At 51.4% G+C, this 18759-nt stretch overlaps 1 protein-coding gene and 1 pseudogene across 2 annotated transcripts, besides 1 other annotated feature; both read left to right on the top strand.

Annotated features, from left to right (window-relative positions):
• The first annotated feature begins 2476 nt into the window (after positions 1-2476).
• LGALS4 (galectin 4) lies at positions 2477-13748 on the top strand. 2 transcript variants are annotated; one of them, NM_006149.4, is made up of 10 exons: positions 2477-2580; positions 2903-2991; positions 6474-6678; positions 8827-8961; positions 11527-11553; positions 11642-11680; positions 11871-11900; positions 13018-13106; positions 13265-13430; positions 13512-13748. In NM_006149.4, the coding sequence occupies exons 1-10, from the start codon at positions 2536-2538 to the stop codon at positions 13656-13658; spliced, it is 972 nt and encodes a 323-aa protein (NP_006140.1). In that variant the 5' UTR covers positions 2477-2535; the 3' UTR covers positions 13659-13748. The 2 variants fall into 2 exon arrangements, with proteins under 2 accessions (NP_006140.1, XP_011525275.1); XM_011526973.3 differs by lacking the exon at positions 11642-11680.
• Positions 17425-18339: an enhancer, noted in NCBI's record as "NANOG-H3K27ac hESC enhancer chr19:39287723-39288637 (GRCh37/hg19 assembly coordinates)". NCBI's record gives its function as "activates a minimal SCP1, AML or CMV promoter by ChIP-STARR-seq in primed H9 embryonic stem cells {active_cell/tissue: H9 hESC(primed)}" and the evidence as "EXISTENCE:reporter gene assay evidence [ECO:0000049][PMID:30033119]".
• On the top strand, positions 18313-18419 carry RNU6-140P (RNA, U6 small nuclear 140, pseudogene; annotated as a pseudogene).

Here is an 18759-nt window from a genome sequence, read left to right as displayed (position 1 = left end):
CCTGGTGCCCTTCTTGGATAGAGGAGAGGTGGGAGGGGCTGGGATGCACCTAGGGGCTCCAGAGACTGCAGTCCTGAAGGCTGGGGCTAGAGGTTGGATGCATGGGAATGGGTGGCATGGAGGTGATGGCCATTCAGACTGGCAGCGGGCAGGCGAGGGGCACAAGGAATTCCGGGGCGGAGGGAGTGAGCAAAAGTCGCTGGGGTCCCTCTGGGTTGCAAGGCTTCCTGGTCTCCCTGCCTGCCCTGGGGTTGAGGGTGGCGTTCGTGCCCTGCCTGGCACCTCTCACTGCACAGCACATGGGATCTGATGCTGGCGTCTCACACCTGTAATCCCAGCACTTTTGGAGGCTGACGCAGGTGGATTGCCTGAGCTCAGGAGTTTGCAACCAGCCTAGTCAACATGTTGAAACCCAGTCTCTACTAAAAATACAAAAATTAGCTAGGTGTGGTGGCAGGTGCCTCTAGTCCCAGCTACTCGGGAGGCTGAGGCAGGAGAATCCTTGAACCCAGGAGGTGAGTTTGCAGTGAGCTGAGATCATGCTGCTGCAGTCCAGCCTGGGTGACAGAGTGAGACTCTGTCTCAAAAAAAGAAAAAACAAAACAAAAAAGGACTTTGGGGTTTCTGGCCGGGTGCAGTGGCTCATGCCTGTAATTCCAGCACTTTGGGAGGTTGAGGCAGGTGGATCACTTGAGGTCAGGAGTTTGAGACCAGCCTGGCCAACATGGCAAAACCTGGTCTCTACTAAAAATACAAAAATTAGCCAGGCGTGGAGTAAGCCTGTAATCCCAGCTATTCAGAAGGCTGAGGCAGGAGAATCCCTTGAACCTGGGAGGTGGAGGTTGCAGTGAGCTGAGATGGTGCCACTGCACTGCAGCCTGGGTGATAGAGCAAGACTCTGTCTCAAAAATGAGCAAACAAAACTTTGGGATTTTTTATCCATATATCATCCCAATCTTCCGGATTTATGTTTGGAATGACTGCAAGAGACCAAGCATTAAGTTAATGACTTCTATATGCTATGTCCTGTTCTGAGCATTTATTATCTTAATGATCAAGGACTCTATGAAGTTGATACTATTATGATTATTATTATTATGACTATTATTGTTGCTATTTTTAGAGACGGACTCTTAGTCTGTCACCCAGGCTGGAGTGCAGTGGCATGATCATAGCTCACTGTAACCTTAACTCCTGGGTTCAAGCGATCCTCCTGCCTCAGCCTCTGAGTAGCTAGGAATACAGATGTGTGCTACCATGCCCAGCTAATTTTTATTTTATTTTTGTAGAGATGGGGGTCTCACTATGTTGCCCAGGCTGGTCTTGAACTCCTGGGCTCAAGCAGTCCTCCTGCTTCAGCTTCCCAAATTGCTGGGATTGTAGGCACAAGCCACCACACCCAGCCTAAGGTTGATACTACTCTTTTCTTTATTTATTTATTTTTCTGAGTGGCAGTTGGACCCACAGCTAGAACTTATTTGGCAGATTAATAACATACAGGCATTACTGGATCACAAATTCATTTTTAAAATATTTTGATAGCTATTCAATACTTGTTTCCTCTCTTATGAATTCCTTTTTTTTTTTTTTTTTTTTTGAAACAGAGTCTCCATCTGTCATCCAAGCTGGAGTGCAGTGGCGTGACCTTGGCTCACTGCACTCTCCTCCACTCAGGTTCAAGTGATTCTCCTGCCTCAGCCTCCAAGTAGATGGGATTATAGGCACCCACCACCATGCCTGGCTAATTTTTGTATTTTTAGTAGAGACTGGGATTTTGCCAGGCTGGTCTCGAACTCCTGCCCTCAGGTGATCCATCCACCTCGGCCAGTCAAAGTGCTGGGATTACAGGCATGAGCCACTGCACCCAGCCGATACTACTATATCCCCATTTTACAGATGAGCACATGGGCAAATTGAGGGTAAGGCACTGACCCATGATCATACAGCTGAGAAGTGGCAAAGGCAGGATTTGAACCTAGAACCTCTGGCTCCACACACTAGTAATCTAAACCACTCTCCCTACAATACAACATACGTGGTAAAGATGTGTGGTGGGCACGCAATCAACGTAGGTCCCTTCACAGTTGCTGGGAGAGGCAGGAATTTGCAGTTCCTCCGCGTTCTCCTCCTCCGCTGCCCACCTGTCCTGGGTCATTCCTGCAGCCTGCCCTGCCCTGCCTGGTCTCACCCTCCCTCTGCCAACAGAAGTCTGGGCAGGGTTTTATGGGCTCTGATAAGGCCCTGGCAGGGCCGAAGTTCATGAGCACTTCCTCTTTGCAGGAGGGCGTAGGGGAGGGGACCCAGGTGATTTGGGTCCTGGCTGGTCACCAGGGAAGCTGGCAAGGGAAGGGAGACTAGGGTGCGCTCTAGGAGAAGCCGACAGCCTGAGAGTCCCAGAAGAGGAGCCCTGTGGACCCTCCCCTGCCAGCCACTCCCTTACCCTGGGTATAAGAGCCACCACCGCCTGCCATCCGCCACCATCTCCCACTCCTGCAGCTCTTCTCACAGGACCAGCCACTAGCGCAGCCTCGAGCGATGGCCTATGTCCCCGCACCGGGCTACCAGCCCACCTACAACCCGGTGAGATGCCAGCTCAGGCCCCACTCCGCCCGCAGCTCCGTCCATAAGCCCTCACACCAATTTTCCCCACTCTGATCCTGGGGGGCCCCATCTGACTCTGTGGTCTGATTTACCCAAAGCTGACCCCGACCCTCGATTTACTCCTACCCTGACCTCAGGCTGTCTGTGTCCACGTCTAACTGTTGGCCCTCGTCATCTTCAACCTGGTCCTCCCCCATGGTTTCCTCTCTCCTGCTTAAGGGACTGGGGGGCTTTTCTGGGAGGGGTAAAGGCTGCAACAGGCAGATGGCTTGTGAGTCCCCTCACCAGGCCTCTTCTCCAGACGCTGCCTTACTACCAGCCCATCCCGGGCGGGCTCAACGTGGGAATGTCTGTTTACATCCAAGGAGTGGCCAGCGAGCACATGAAGCGGTAAGACCCTCCCCAAGCCAGGCCGGGCTGGCAGGGGACTTCCAACTGGGTGCTCTGGGCCTGGCTGTTGGGGGCTTTCTGCCCTTACCCCACCCTGGTGGAGAGGGGACTCTTTTTCTGCCCCACCCAATAGCCAGAGATGAATCTGGGGCAGATCAGGAGTGGGGACGTGGGGGCCAGAAGGTTCAGGGAGGGCTCACCGTGAGAGGCAGTCCCTGAGTTGGACATTAGACTGAAGCTGATGGGTGCAATGGCAGGAATTCAGATCACAGGCTCAGAGCCGGGTCCCCGAGTTAAAATCCCAGCTCTGCCACTCCCCAGCTCTGTGTTGGTGAAAGAGTGAAAGTGACTATACCTCTCTGTGCTTCATTTTCTTTTCTTTTCTGTTTTTGTTTTTTTTGTTTTTTTTTTTGTTTTGAGATGGAGTTTTGCTCTTGTCGCCCAGGCTGGAGTGCAATGGCATGATCTTGGCTCACTGCAACCTCTGTCTCCCAGGTTCAAGCGATTCTCCTGCCTCAGCCTCTTGAGTAGCTGGGATTACAGGCATGTGCCAGCACACTGGCTAATTTTTGTATTTTTAGTAGAGATGGGGTTTCACCATGTTGGTCAGGCTGGTCTCGAACTCCTGACCTCAAGTGATCCTCCCATCTCGGCCTCCCAAAGTGCTGGGATTACAGGCGTGAGCCACTGCGCCTGGCCCAGTCTTAGCTTTTTAAAAAGGGCCTTAACACGTTGATAATGATTGGCCTCATAGGACTTTTTTTTTCCTTAGAGATAGGGTCTTGCTCTGTTGCCCAAGCTGGAGTGCAGTGGCACAATATTATAGCTCACTTCGGCCTCCAACTCCTGGGCTAAAGTGATCCTCCTACCTCATCTTTCCAAGCAGATGGGACTACAGACATGTGCCACCATGCCCAACTAATTTAATTTTTAATTTTTATTTATTATTATTATTTGTTTTGTAGAGACAAAGTCTTGTTATGTTGCCCAGGCTGGTCTTGAACTCCTGTGCTCAAGCGATCCTCTAGCCTCGGCCTCCTAAAGTGCTGGGAGGATCAGGCACTGGTATGAGCCACTCTGCCCAGCCTGTTGTTTATTTATTTATTGTTTACTTCTTCACTGAGTGCCTATTCTGTGTCCTGGCACTAGGGATGGAGGAGTGAACAGGACAGAGACCCCTGCCCTCGTGGAGCTGATGTCCTAGTAGGGGAAACATAAAAAATAAGTCCAGGCCGGGCGCGGTAGCTCAGGCCTGTAATCCCAGCACTTTAGGAGGCCTAGGCAGGCAGATCACCTGAGATCGGGAGTTCAAGACCAGCCTGACCAAAATGGAGAAACCCTGTCTCTACTAAAAATACAAAATTACCAGGGCGTGGTGGCGCATGCCTGTAATCCCAGCTACTCAGGAGGCTGAGGCAGGAGAATCACTTGAACCTGGGAAGTGGAGGTTTCGGTGAGCCGAGATCGTGCCATTGCACTACAGCCTGGGCAACAAGAGTGAGACTCTGTCTCAAAAAAAAAAAAAAAAAAAGTCAAATATGTAAGATGTCAGATGATATTAAGTGCTATGAAGAAAATGAGGAGGGAAGGGAGATGGGGAGTGTATGTGCGGACAGAGGTTCCCTTTAAATTGTCCCCTTAAATAGGGTGGCCTGGCCGGGCATGGTGGCTTACGCCTGTAATCCCAGCACTTTGGGTGGCTAAGCCAGGCAGATCACCTGAGGTCAGGAGCTCGAGACTAGCCTGGCCAAAATGGCAAAATCGCATCTGGCTGGGCGTGGTGGCTCACGTCTGTAATCCCAGCACTTTGGGAGGCAGAGACGGGCGGATCACGAGGTCAGGAGATCGAGACCATCCTGGCTAACACAGTGAAACCCCGTCTCTACTAAAAATACAAAAAATTAGCTGGGCATGGTGGCGGGTGCCTGTAGTCCCAGCTACTCGGGAGGCTGAGGCAGGAGAATGGCGTGAAACCAGGAGGCGGAGCTTGCAGTGAGCCAAGATTGCGCCACTGCACTCCAGCCTGGGCGAAAGAGCGAGACTCCATCTCAAAAAAAAAAAAAAAAAAAAAAAAAAGGCGAAATCTCATCTCTGCTGAAAATACAAAATTAGCCAGGCATGGTGACAGGTGCCTGTAATCCCAGCTACTTGAGAGCCTGATGTGGGAGAATCACTTGAATCCTGAAGGCAGAGTTTGCAGTGAGCTGAGATCGCATCACTGCACTCCAGCCTAGGTGACAAAGGGAGACTGTCTCAAAAAAATTAAAAAGGTGGCCAGAGAAGGCCTGCCTGGGAAGGGAACATATCAGCAAAGAACAGAAGGAACGGAGAGAGGGATCCCCAGGGACAGCTGAGGGAAGGGCCTTCCAGGCAGAGGGAACAGCCAGTGCAAAGGCCCTGAGACAGGCCTGTCCTGGGGAGTAATTTCAAGGATGCTGGTGTGCCCAGGGGTGCGGAATATGATGCGTCATGGGTGTACACAGGGACCCTCTGGCTGCATGAGGGAAATGATCTTCAGGGCCAGGAGGGGAGCAGGGAGACCCAAAGTGCATAGGACAGGGCCTGGCCCGTGGCAGACTTGTAACAGTCATAACTGGAAGTTGGGAAGAGGGTGGAGGAGGTGGTCTAAGAAGGCAAGGTGGGCTGGGTACAGCAACTCACACCTGTAATCCCAGCACTCTGAGAGGCCGAGGTGGTAGGATTGCTTGAGCCCGGGAGTTTGAGACCAGCCTCGGCAACATAGTGAGACCCCATCTCTACAAAAAAAAAAAAAAAAAAAAAAAAAAGCCAGGCATAGTGGCATGCACCTGTAGTCCCAGCTACTAGGGAGGCTGAGGCAGGAGAATCAGTTGACCCAGGAGGTTGAGGCTGCAGTGAGCCACCATCGTGGCCACTGTACTCCAGCCTGGGGGACAGGGTGAGAACACAAGACCCTGTCTCAAGAAAAAAAATGTCAGGCACGGTGTCTCACACCTGTAATCCCAGCACTTTGGGAAGCCGAGGCAGGTGGATCACCTGAGGTCAGGAGTTTGAGATCAGCCTGGCCAACATGGTGAAACCCTGTCTCTACTAAAAATACAAAAATTAGCCGGACGTGGTGGTGCACGCCTGTAATCCCAGCTACTTGGGAGGCTGAGGCAGGAGAATCACTGGAATCCAGGAGGCGGAGGTTGCAGTGAGCTGAGATCGCGGCACTCCAACTCCAGCCTGGGCAACAGAGCAAGACTCCATCTCAAAAAAAAAAAAAAAAAAAAAAAGAAGGAAAGGCTGTGAGCGAAGGTGTGGTGGTGGGAATCTGCCCCCCTCAGAACTCAGGTCCTCTCCACGCTGTGGCCCACAGTGCCAAGGTTGCCCCTCAGAGCTGGTGCTGAGGTCCGGGCCAGGGAGGCCGAGGACAGGGCGGCAGGGAGAGGGCTTCCTGGAGGAGGCCCCCAGGCCCCGGGAGGTGGCACCAGGGGAATGAGCCCTTTGTGTCCCGCCAGGTTCTTCGTGAACTTTGTGGTTGGGCAGGATCCGGGCTCAGACGTCGCCTTCCACTTCAATCCGCGGTTTGACGGCTGGGACAAGGTGGTCTTCAACACGTTGCAGGGCGGGAAGTGGGGCAGCGAGGAGAGGAAGAGGAGCATGCCCTTCAAAAAGGGTGCCGCCTTTGAGCTGGTCTTCATAGTCCTGGCTGAGCACTACAAGGTCTGCATGCTTTCTCTCTTGTTTCCCAAGCTGGAGTGCAGTGGCGCCATCTTGGCTGCTTCCTTCCTTCCCGCCTTCCTTCCTTTTCTTTCTTTCTTTCTTTTTTTTTTTTTTTTTTTTGAGATGGAGTTTCACTCTGTTGCCCAGGCTGGAGTGCAGTGGCATGATCTCAGCTTACTGCAACCTCTGCCTGCTGGGTTCAAGAGCTTCTCCTGCCTCAGCCTCCCGAGTAGCTGGGATTATAGGCGCGTGCCACCACGCTCAGCTAATTTCTGTATTTTGAGTAGAGATGGGGTTTCACCATGTTGCCCAGGCTGGCCTCGAACTCCCGACCTCAGGTGTTCTGCCCTCCTTGGCCTCCCAAAGTGCTGGAATTACAGGCGTGAGCCACCACACCCAGCCCCTTCCTTCTTTTTCCTCTTTTTCCTTCCTCTTTCTCTGTTCTCTCCTCTTTCCTCCCCTCCTTCCTTCCCCCTTCCCTCCTCTCTTCTTCCTTCTCTCTCCTTCCCTCCTTCATTTATTTCCTTTTTCCATCCCCACTTTTTATGTCAACTTCTTTCTTTTCTTTTCCTTCTTTCCTGCCTATTTTATTTTATTTTATTATTTATTTATTTATTTATTTTTATTTATTGATCATTCTTGGGTGTTTCTCAGAGAGGGGGATGTGGCAGGGTCATAGGATAATAGTGGAGAGAAGGTCAGCAGATAAACACGTGAACAAAGGTCTCTGGTTTTCCTAGGCAGAGGGCCCTGCGGCCTTCCACAGTGTTTGTGTCCCTGGGTACTTGAGATTAGGGAGTGGTGATGACTCTTAAGGAGCATGCTGCCTTCAAGCCTCTGTTTAACAAAGCACATCCTGCACAGCCCTTAATCCATTTAACCCTGAGTTGACACACCACATGTCTCAGGGAACACAGGGTAAGGTTACAGATTAACAGCAACTCAAGGCAGAAGAATTTTTCTTAGTACAGAACAAAATGGAGTCTTCTATGTCTACTTCTTTCTACACAGACACAGTAACAATCTGATCTCTCTTTCTTTTCCCCACATTTCCCCCTTTTCTTTTCGACAAAACCGCCATCGTCATCATGGCCCATTCTTGATGGTCGCTGTCTCTTCGGAGCTGTTGGGTACACTTCCCAGACAGGGCGGCCTGGCAGAGGCGCTCCTCACTTCCCAGACGGGGCGGCCGGGCAGAGGCGCTCCTCACCTCCCAGACGAAGGGCGGCCGTTTCCTGCCTATTTTTAAAAATCCTCTTTTAGCGCTTTTCCTTAGTCCCATTACCCTACTGCTGAGAGTCTTGTAATACATTTCATGTGTATTTCCTCCTACCACTTTGTGTTTTTTGCAAAACGTGTACTTTTTGTTTTCCTCTTGAGACTGGGTCTCGCTCTGTTGCCCAGGCTGGAGTGCAGTGATGCAAACAGCTCACTACAGCCTCAACCTCCCCGGGCTCAGGTGATCCTCTCACATTAGCCTCCGGAGTAGCTGGGACTCTAGGTGCACACCACCACGCCCGGCTAATTTTTGTATATTTTTGTAAAGACGGGGTCTTGCTATGTTTCTCAAGCTGGTCTCGAACTCTTGATCTCAAATGATCCCCCACCTTGGCTTCCTAAAGTGCTGGGATTACAGGCATGAGCCACTGCGCCCGGCCAGTGAGCTGATTTTTGACCTTAGCTTGACCTCTGAGCTGTGGACTCCAAGGTTCCTGATGCTGAGGCTGTCCCAGCTCATCCCCAAGACTATCGACTCCCAATGAAAAAGATCCCTGATCCTTGCTTTTTTTTTTTTTTGAGACAGAGTCTTGCTCTGTCACCCAAGCTGGAGTGCAGCAGCGTGATCTCCACTCACTGCAACCTCCACCTCCCGGGTTCAGGCGATTCTCCTGCCTCAGCCTCCTGAGTATCTGGGATTACAGGAGCCCGCCACCATGCCTGGCTAATTTTTGTATTTTTAGTAGAGATGGGGTTTCACTATGTTGGCCAGACTGGTCTCACACTCCTGATCTCAAATGATCCACCCCCCTCAGCCTCCCAAAGTGCTGGGATTAGAGGCGTGAGCCAGGGTGCCCTGCCCTTGCTTCCTGTTTGTACCTTCCCAGGATCATGGGTGCTGACTCCTGACCTCCCATCTCTGCCCTCCAGGTGGTGGTAAATGGAAATCCCTTCTATGAGTACGGGCACCGGCTTCCCCTACAGATGGTCACCCACCTGCAAGTGGATGGGGATCTGCAACTTCAATCAATCAACTTCATCGGAGGCCAGCCCCTCCGGCCCCAGGTGTGAGGGGTCCCATCCCTTCTTGCGTCCTTTCTTTCTAAATTCAGTTCCACATTCATTTTTTTTCTTTTTTTCTTTTTTTCTTTTTTTTTTGAGACGGAGTCTCACTCTGTCGCCCAGGTTGGAGTGCAGTGGCGCGATCTTGGCTCACTGCAAGCTCCGCCTCCCAGGTTCACGCCATTCTCCTGCCTCAGCCTCCCAAATAGCTGGGACTACAGGAGCCTGCCACCACGCCCGGCTAATTTTTTTGTATTTTTAGTAGAGACAGGGTTTCACTGTGTTAGCCAAGATGGTCTCGATCTCCTTACCTCATGATCCACCCACCTCGACTTCCCAAAGTGCTGGGATTACAGGCGTGAGCCACCGCAGTTGGTCTATTTTTTCTTTTTGAGATGGAGTCTTGCTCTGTCTCCCAGGCTGGAGTACAGTGGTGTGATTCTGGCTCACTGCAACCTCTGCCTCCCAGTTTTAAGCAATTCTCCTGCCTCAGCCTCCCAAGTAGCTGGGATTACAGGCACCCACCATCACATCTGGCTAATTTTTGTATTTTTAGTAGAGACGGGGTTTCACCATGTTGGCCAGGCTGGTCTGGAACTCCTGGCCTCAAGTGATCTGCTGGCTACAGTCTCCCAGAGTGCTGGGATTACAGGTGTGAGCCATGGTGCCCAGCGCATTCCACATTCATTTATTTCCCAAGCATCTCCCTCTGCTGAGTTATGCCAAGAGCCCAGTGATGATCAAGGGATCCCACTGGGAAGACAGACCCATCACTGCAAGGGATAAAGGCCGGGATGGGGAGGCCCTGGCTGAAGGGTTGCAGTTGGGTTTGGGCCCAGACAGAGGGATCAGGGCCAGGACAGGAGGGTGGGTGGAGGCAGGCAGAGGGGTCAGGCCCAGGGCTGGAGACAGGAATGACTGAGATATCTCTGGGCCCTGACCTCACTGGGCTCACAGACATGGCATCAGAGAGTGACAGCCCAGAAATGGTCAGGTCTGTGATAGGGAGGGCACAGGCAGAGGGGCAGGGGCTGGGATATGGAGTATACAGGAGGTTTGGGAGCCTACAGGAAGGGCTTGACTAGTCATGGGTCAGGAAGGAAGTGCTTCCTGGAGTAGGAGGAAGTGTGTAAGGTGAGTCAGAAAGTGAGGATAAGGAAAGGCAAAGAACACACGATAGTGAATGAATTCCCTAGAGGTTGCTTAACACAATCATTAAAAATAAATAACATACAATTAAATTGAGTTTATCAATATTATTATTATTATTATTATTATTATTATTATTATTATTATTTTTGAGGCAGGGTCTGGCTCTGTCACCCAGGCTGGAGTGTGGTGGTGCAATCACAGCCTACTGTATTCTTGACTTCCTGGGTTCAAGTGATCCTCCCACCTCAGTCTCCTGAGTAGCTGGGACTACAGGCACGCACCACCAGCCCCAGCTAGTTTTTAAATTTTTTGTAAAGACAGAGGGGAGGAATTTTCCTATGTTGTCCAGGCTGGTCTTGAACTCCTGACCTCAGGTGATCCACCCACCTCAGCCTCCCAAAGTCCTGAGATTACAGGCGTGAGCCACAGCCCCCGGCTTATAAAGCTACGTTTATTTGTTTGTTTGTTTTTTGTTTTTTGTTTTTTTTTTAGATGGAGTCTTGCTCTGTGGCCCAGGTTGGAGTGCAGTGGCATGATCTCAGCTCACTGCACCCTCTGCCTCCCAGGTTTAAGGAATTCTTCCTCAGCCTCCCAAGTAGCTGTGATTACAGGCACCTGCCACCACGCCCGGCTATATAAAGCTACTTTTAAAAGGCCTTCAGAATAGCTGGCTGAGAATAGAAGTCAAGGCAGAATGGAGTTAATTACAAGGAGGAGAAAAGAGAAGGTAACAGAGAGAAAGAGAGAGAGTAAAAGTTAAAGGTGTTAGACTTGGGAGGGTGAGGCGAGCGGATCACCTGAGGTCGGGAGTTTGAGACCAGCCTGACCAACATGGAGAAACCCCATCTCTATTAAAAATACAAAATTAGCTGGGCGTGGTGGCGCATGCTTGTAATCCCAGCTACACCGGAGGCTGAGGCAGGAGAATCACTTGAACCCAGGAGGCAGAGGTTGAGGTGAGCAGAGATCGTGCCACTGCACGGCACCCTGGGCAACAAGAGCGAAATTCCATCTCAAATAAATAAATAAAAGTGTTTGGCAGAAGGAAGCCCCTGCGCTGAGGTGTGGCCAAGACAGAGAGAGAGGCAGAGACACAGGGACAGAGGCAGAAACTGAGATCAAGATCAGCGAGTGAGGGCCCCGGGACAGCAGGAAGACAGCAAGGGGAAGGGCACAGAGAACAAAATGGACCAAGCATTGTCCTAAAGCTTTGGGGTGACTCACTGGGCATCAGCGATCCCAGAACATGGGGTGCCCCTCTCCGTGAATCTGTGATCGGGGTGCCACCCTTTGATGCCAGAGTTCTCTGGCATAGTGGTGGTGGTGGTGGGCCACCCCAGGGCAGGCACTCTCGACATCTTTCAGTCGCAAATCTGGGGACCCTCTCATAACCGCTTTCTCTTTCTGTGCCCACAGGGACCCCCGATGATGCCACCTTACCCTGTAAGTACTTGCTGATAGGTGAGGGTCTTCCTCCCTAGTGGGGTCCCTCAGCCCCTCTCACCCTTCCTGCCTTCTGTCCATCGTTCAGGGTCCCGGACATTGCCATCAACAGCTGAACAGCCTGCCCGTGAGTGGGAGGGCTGGGAGGGCCCCGGGTGAGGAGTGGGAATGGTGAGAATTGGGGTAGGGGGAGCTAAGAGGGGTTGCAGCCCAAGGTGTACTAACCCAGCACCTAGAGAAACGCCGGAGTCTAATGGGTGTGTCATAGATATCTGTCGACTCTTGGAGAATAATATCGCTTCTTCCTCACTTCACAGACCATGGAAGGACCCCCAACCTTCAACCCGGTATGGCTTGGGGAAACAGAGATGGATGGTGGGGAGGGGGCACGGATCTCCAGGGAATCTGAGACAGCCAGAAAGGGAGTGGGCTGAGGGTTTTGGGGTGGGAGGTAGGGGAAGGGTAGATAGAGTTCGTGGTCAGGTTTAGGGAGCAGAAGGAATTGGGGATGTTTTCCAGGAGGAGTGGGACCTCTCAGAAAATTTGTTCTTGGGCTGGACATGGTGGCTCACGCCTGTAATCCCAGCACTTTGGGATGCCAAGGCGGACAGATCACGAGGTCAGGAGATCGATCGAGACCATCCTGGCCAGCATAGTGAAACTCTGTCTCTACTAAAAATACAAAAATTAGCTGGGCATGGTGGCGCGCGCCTGTAATCCCAGCTACTCAGGAAGCTGAGGCAGGAGAATCGCTTGAACCAGGGAGTCGGAGGTTGCAGTGAGCCGGGATCGTGCCACAGTACTCCAACCTGGTGACAGAACGAGACTCCATCTCAAAAAAAAAAAAAAAAAAAAAAAAAGAAAAAGAAAAGAAAAAGAAAATTTATTCTTGGCCAGACACGGTGGCTCATGCCTATAATCCCAGCCCTTTGGGAGGCCAAGGCAGGTGGATCACTTGAGGTCAAGAGTTCCAGATCAGCCTGGTCAACATGATGAATCCCCGTCTCTACTAAAATGACAAAAGTTAGCCAGGTGTGGTGGCGCACACCTGTAATCCCAGCTACTAGGAAGGCTGAGGCAGCAGAATTGCTTGAACCTAGGAGGCAGAGGTTGCAGTGAGCTGAGATTATGCCACTACACTCCAGCCTGGGCGTCAGAGGGAGACTCTGCCTAAAAAAAAAAACAAAATTTGTTCCTTTGTTCCTGCAAGGCTGGGCGTGGTGGCTCACGCCTGTAATCCCAGCACTTCGGGAGGCTGAGATGGGAGGATTGCTTGAGCCCAGCAGTTTGAGGCTGCAGTGAGGCTTGATCATGCCACTGCACTCCAGCCTGGGTGACAGAGTAAGACCCCATCTCTTATAAGAAAAAAAGACAGGAAAGAAAAGAAAAGAAAAAGAAAATTTCTTCCCACATCTGGCTCTGCTAAGCTGAGAGAGAATGGGACCCCCCGTTCTCTTCCCACAGCCTGTGCCATATTTCGGGAGGCTGCAAGGAGGGCTCACAGCTCGAAGAACCATCATCATCAAGGGCTATGTGCCTCCCACAGGCAAGAGGTATAACGTAAACTAGGTGGGAACCCCCAGCCCCCTCCTCCCTCAGACCCAACAATCTAGACCCTCTGTCCCCTCCTCCTTTAGGGATTCAGAGGTCCAGCCCACTGGCCTCTTCCCACTGGACTCCATCTGACTCCCCCATCCCTCTCTGTCCCCAGCTTTGCTATCAACTTCAAGGTGGGCTCCTCAGGGGACATAGCTCTGCACATTAATCCCCGCATGGGCAACGGTACCGTGGTCCGGAACAGCCTTCTGAATGGCTCGTGGGGATCCGAGGAGAAGAAGATCACCCACAACCCATTTGGTCCCGGACAGTTCTTTGATGTGAGTCTGAGCTCTCTTTTCCCACTTCCTTCCAGGGCCTCAGTCCTGGCCCTGGCCTCATGCCCACCCTTCTCCCTGCAGCTGTCCATTCGCTGTGGCTTGGATCGCTTCAAGGTTTACGCCAATGGCCAGCACCTCTTTGACTTTGCCCATCGCCTCTCGGCCTTCCAGAGGGTGGACACATTGGAAATCCAGGGTGATGTCACCTTGTCCTATGTCCAGATCTAATCTATTCCTGGGGCCATAACTCATGGGAAAACAGAATTATCCCCTAGGACTCCTTTCTAAGCCCCTAATAAAATGTCTGAGGGTGTCTCATGAGTGTGTGTCTCCATCTGCTCCCCGGCTACTCTTCCCTTCCTTGGTTCAGTCATGCACTTCATCTATCCTTCATCCATCCAGTCATCTGACCATCCATCCTCCTGTCATCATAAATCTGGTTATGCCCCAAGCACTGATTTAGGGCTCATTCACTTCTCACAGCAACCCCAAGAGGTAGAAACAATTATTATCATCCCTCTGTAACAGATGAGGAAACAAAGGAAAATAAAACAAATTGCCCAAATTATACATTGCATAAATGGCAGAAGGAGGATTCAAATCCAGCTGATCTGGCTCCCAAGGATCTGCACACTTAACCACTATACAGCCTGTCGTTCCATCCATCCATGCATCCATCTCTCCACTCGTGTATCCCAACATCCATCAATCTCTCCATGTATCCAACCAAAAGTCCATCCAACCATCCATCAATCAAACATCCAACCATCTAGACCTCATCAATCCATCCATTGAGCTGATTGTTCAACCATCCTTTCATCCAACCCTTTATCCATCTACCCATCCATTTACCTCTGCACTCATCATCTCATCGTCAATCTCTCCAAACATCCAGTCAACCATATGTTCACCCATTCATCCAAACATGCAACTATTCATCTACTCACCAGTCTGTCTAGCTCTATCCAGCTGTTTATCCATCCATTCTTTCATTCAACCTTTTATCCATCACCCATGCATCTGATCATCCATCATCTTCTCCATCCATCCAAACATCTAACCATATACCAGTCTATCTGTCTATTCATTCAGCCATCCTTACGAAGTCTAACTTTCGTCCATCCATTCATTTATTCATCCCTCCATTTGTCCATGTAATTCTCTGCTTTCCATCACAGTCATCCATTTGTCCTCCATATGCCCATTCATCCCTCCATTCAGCAATTCATCACTTTTCCATCTCTTTCTATCCAATTATCCATTCATCTCTTCATTATCTATTTTTTTCCAACCCTTTTCCAACTCAAGCTGGAAAGTTATCCATTCATTTATATTTTCTTCTCTCCATCTGTCCACCCAACCATGCTTTCATCAAATCACTCTTTTGCTGATTTCATCATTCATTGATTTCTTGTTTTTATTTTTATTTATTTTTTTTTTGAGACAGAGTTTTGCTCTTGTCATCCAGGCTGGAGTGCAATGGTGCTGTCTCAGGTCACTGCAACTGCCATCTCCCGTTCAAGCAATTCTCCTGCCTCAGCCTCCTGAGTAGCTGGAATTACAGGCACCCACCACCACGCCCAGCTAATTTTTGTATTTTTAGTAGAGACAGGGTTTTGCCATGTTGGCCAGGCTGGTCTTGAACTCCTGACCTCAGGTGGTGCGCCTGCCTCCGCCTCCCAAAGTGCTGGGATTACAGGCGTGGGCCACCGTGCCTGGCCCATTCATTGATTTCTTTCTTTTTTTTCTTTCTTTTTTTGAGACGGAGTCTTGCTCTGTCGCCAGGCTGGAGTGCAGTGGTGCCATCTCAGCTCACTGCAACCTCCGCCTCATGGGTTCAAGTGATTCTCCTGCTTCAGCCTCCTGAGTAGCTGGGGCTACAGGCATGCGCCACCATGCCCAGCTAATTTTTGTATTTTTAGTAGAAACAGGGTTTCACCATGTTGGCCAGGATGGTCTCAATCTCTTGACTCGTGATACACCCACCTTGGCCTCCCAAAGTGCTGGGATTACAGGCGTGAGCCACTGCCCCCAGCTGATTTCTTTACATTTTCATTCATCCATCTATTCTTTATTCACTCTCGTGTTTACTTATTCACCAGTCACTGACTCATCCACTTTCAAATTAGCTGGGTTGGCTTTCTGATGTAATGGGTTAGCAAGCTTCAGGACAAACCATGAAGTGACGAATTAAACCCTCTATATTATTAATTGGATAAAATGCTGTAAAACCGGTTATTAGCATGACTCAAACTAAGTTTAAATGTTTGCATGTCTAAAGCAACTTTCTGGAGTGATGGATATGTTCCATACCCTAGGTCACACAGCTCTGTGCATTTGTTAGAACTCATTGGCTGTATATTTTATTTTATTAAATTCTTTTTATTTTTGTTTTTATTGAGACAGGATCTCACTCTATTGCCCAGGCTGGAGTGCAGTGGTGTGATCACAGCTCATTGCAGGCTCAACCTCTGGGACTCAAGTGATCCTCCCACTCCAGCCTCCCAGGTAGCTGGGACCACAGGTGTGCACCACCATGCCCAGCTAATTAAAAATATATATATTTATAAAGACGGGGGTCTCCTTATGTTGCTCAGGCTGATCTCGACTCCCTGGGCTCAAGCAATGCTCCTGCCCTAGCCGCCCAAAGTGTCGGGATTACCGGCGTGAGTCGCTGTGCCCAGCCAACTGTACATTTTAGATTTGTGCATTTCACCAATATAAACAAAGAATCTTTCCGCAAAGCTTACCACAAGGAAAGAATCATAAACAAATATTGTACTCTAGCTAATGATGTACTTCTGAAATGTTTAGGGGTGACAAATACTGATGTTTACAATTTACTTCGAATGGATAAGTAAATAAAATGATGGCTGGGTGCGATGGCATGAGCCTGTAATCCCAGCACTTTGGGAGACGAGGTGGGAAGATTGCTTGAGCCCAGGAGTTCAAGACCAGCCTGGGCAACATGGCGAGACCCTGTCTCTACAAAAAATAAAAAAGTAAGCCAGATGTAGCAAACATCTGTAGTTCCAGCTGCTAGGGAGGCTGAGGCAGGAGGTTGGCTTGTGCCCAGGAGTTCAACGCTGCCGTGAACCATAATCAGGCCACTGCACTCTAGTCTGGACAACAGAGCAAAACTCTGTTTCTAAAAAAATACAAAATAGCTCCCTCCCCCTCCCCCTCCCCCTCTCCCTCTCCTCTTTCCACGGTCTCCCTCTGGACTGTGCTGCTGCCATCTCGGCTCACTGCAACCTCCCTGCCTGATTCTCCTGCCTCAGCCTGCCGAGTGCCTGCGATTGCAGGCGCGCGCCGCCACGCCTGACTGGTTTTCGTATTTTTTTGGTGGAGACGGGGTTTCGCTGTGTTGGCCGGGCTGGTCTCCAGCTCCTAACCGCGAGTGATCCGCCAGCCTCGGCCTCCCGAGGTGCCGGGATTGCAGACGGAGTCTCGTTAACTCAGTGCTCAATGGTGCCCAGGCTGGAGTGCAGTGGCGTGATCTCAGCTACAACCTCCACCTCCCAGCCGCCTGCCTTGGCCTCCCAAAGTGCCAAGAGTGCAGCCTCTGCCCGGCCGCTACCCCGTCTGGGAAGTGAGGTGCGTCTCTGCCTGGCCGCCCATCATCTGGGACGTGAGGAGTCCCTCTGCCTGGCTGCCCAGTCTGGAAAGTGAGGAGCGTCTCTGCCCGGCCGCCATCTCACCTAGGAAGTGAGGAGCACCTCTTCCCGGCCACCATCCCATCTAGGAAGTGAGGAGCGTCTCTGCCCGGCCGCCCATCGTCTGAGATGTGGGGAGCGCCTCTGCCCCGCCGCCCCGTCTGGGAGGTGAGGAGCGTCTCTGCCCGGCCGCCCCGTCTGAGAAGGGAGGAGACCCTCCGCCTGGCAACCGCCCCATCTGAGAAGTGAGGAGCCCCTCCGCCCGGCTGCCACCCTGTCTGGGAAGTGAGGAGCGTCTCCGCCCGGCAGCCACCCCGTCCGGAAGGGAGGTGGGGGGGTCAGCCCCCCGCCCGGCCAGCCGCCCCGGCCAGCCACCCCGTCTGGGAGGTGAGGGGCGCCTCTGCCCGGCCGCCCCTACTGGGAAGTGAGGAGCCCCTCTGCCCGGCCAGCCGCCCCGTCCGGGAGGGAGGTGGGGGAGTCAGCCCCCTGCCCAGCCAGCCGCCCCGTCCGGGAGGGAGGTGGGGGGGTCAGCCCCCCGCCAGGCGAGACGCCCCGTCCGGGAGGGAGGTGGGGGGTCAGCCCCCTGCCCGGCCAGCCGCCCGGTCCGGGAGGTGAGGGGCGCCTCTGCCCGGCCGCCCCTACTGGGAAGTGAGGAGCCCCTCTGCCCGGCCACCACCCCGTCTGGGAGGTGTACCCAACAGCTCATTGAGAACGGGCCATGATGACAATGGCAGTTTTGCGGAATAGAAAAGGGGGAAAGGTGGGGAAAAGATTGAGAAATCGGATGGTTGCTGTGTCTGTGTAGAAAGAAGTAGACATGGGAGACTTTTCATTTTGTTCTGTACTAAGAAAAATTCTTCTGCCTTGGGATCCTGTTGATCTATGACCTTACCCCCAACCCTGTGCTCTCTGAAACATGTGCTGTGTCCACTCAGGGTTAAATGGATTAAGGGCGGTGCAAGATGTGCTTTGTTAAACAGATGCTTGAAGGCAGCATGCTCGTTAAGAGTCATCACCATTCCCTAATCTCAAGTACCCAGGGACACACACACTCTGCCTAGGAAAACCAGAGACCTTTGTTCACTTGTTTATCTGCTGACCTTCCCTCCACTATTGTCCTGTGACCCTGCCAAATCCCCCCTCTGCGAGAAACACCCAAGAATGATCAATAAAAAAAAAATACAAAAATACAAAAATACAAAATATTAAAATAAAATAAAGAAATAGTGCTCGCTTCAGCAGCACATATACTAAAATCTGGAATGATGCAGAGAAGATTAGCATGGCCCCTGCGCAAGGATGACATGCAAATTTGTGAAGTGTTCCATATTTTTTGGCCAGGTGTGGTGGCTCACGCATGTAATCCCAACACTTTGGGAGGCCGAGGCAGGCGAATCACAAGGTCAGGAATTTTTGAGACTAGCCTGGCCAACGTGGTGAAACTCTGTCTCTACCAAAAATACAAAAAATTAGCCGGGCATAGTGGTGGGTGCCTGTAATCCCAGCTACTCGGGAGGCTGGGGCAGGAGAATCGCTTGAACCTGGGAGGCAGAGGTTGCAGTGAGCCGAGATCGCGCCACTGCACTCCAGCCTGGCAACAGAGTGAGACTCCTCTCAAAAAAAAAAAAAAAAAGAAGAAGAAGAAAAGAAAAAAAGAAGATGGTGATGGATGG

The sequence above is a fragment of the Homo sapiens genome, chromosome 19 (assembly GCF_000001405.40).
Source record: "Homo sapiens chromosome 19, GRCh38.p14 Primary Assembly".
NCBI classification, from domain to species: Eukaryota; Metazoa; Chordata; class Mammalia; order Primates; family Hominidae; genus Homo; species Homo sapiens.
This window is presented reverse-complemented; position numbering and strand designations above follow the sequence as displayed.

Coding starts and splice junctions, on each gene's coding strand:
- LGALS4 (NM_006149.4), top strand. CDS start 2,536: ATGGCCTATGTCCCCGCACCGGGCTACCAGCCCACCTACAACCCG. Junction 8,962..11,526: donor GCCAGCCCCTCCGGCCCCAG/GTGTGAGGGGTC, acceptor CTGTGCCCACAG/GGACCCCCGATGATGCCACC. Junction 13,431..13,511: donor GTCCCGGACAGTTCTTTGAT/GTGAGTCTGAGC, acceptor TTCTCCCTGCAG/CTGTCCATTCGCTGTGGCTT.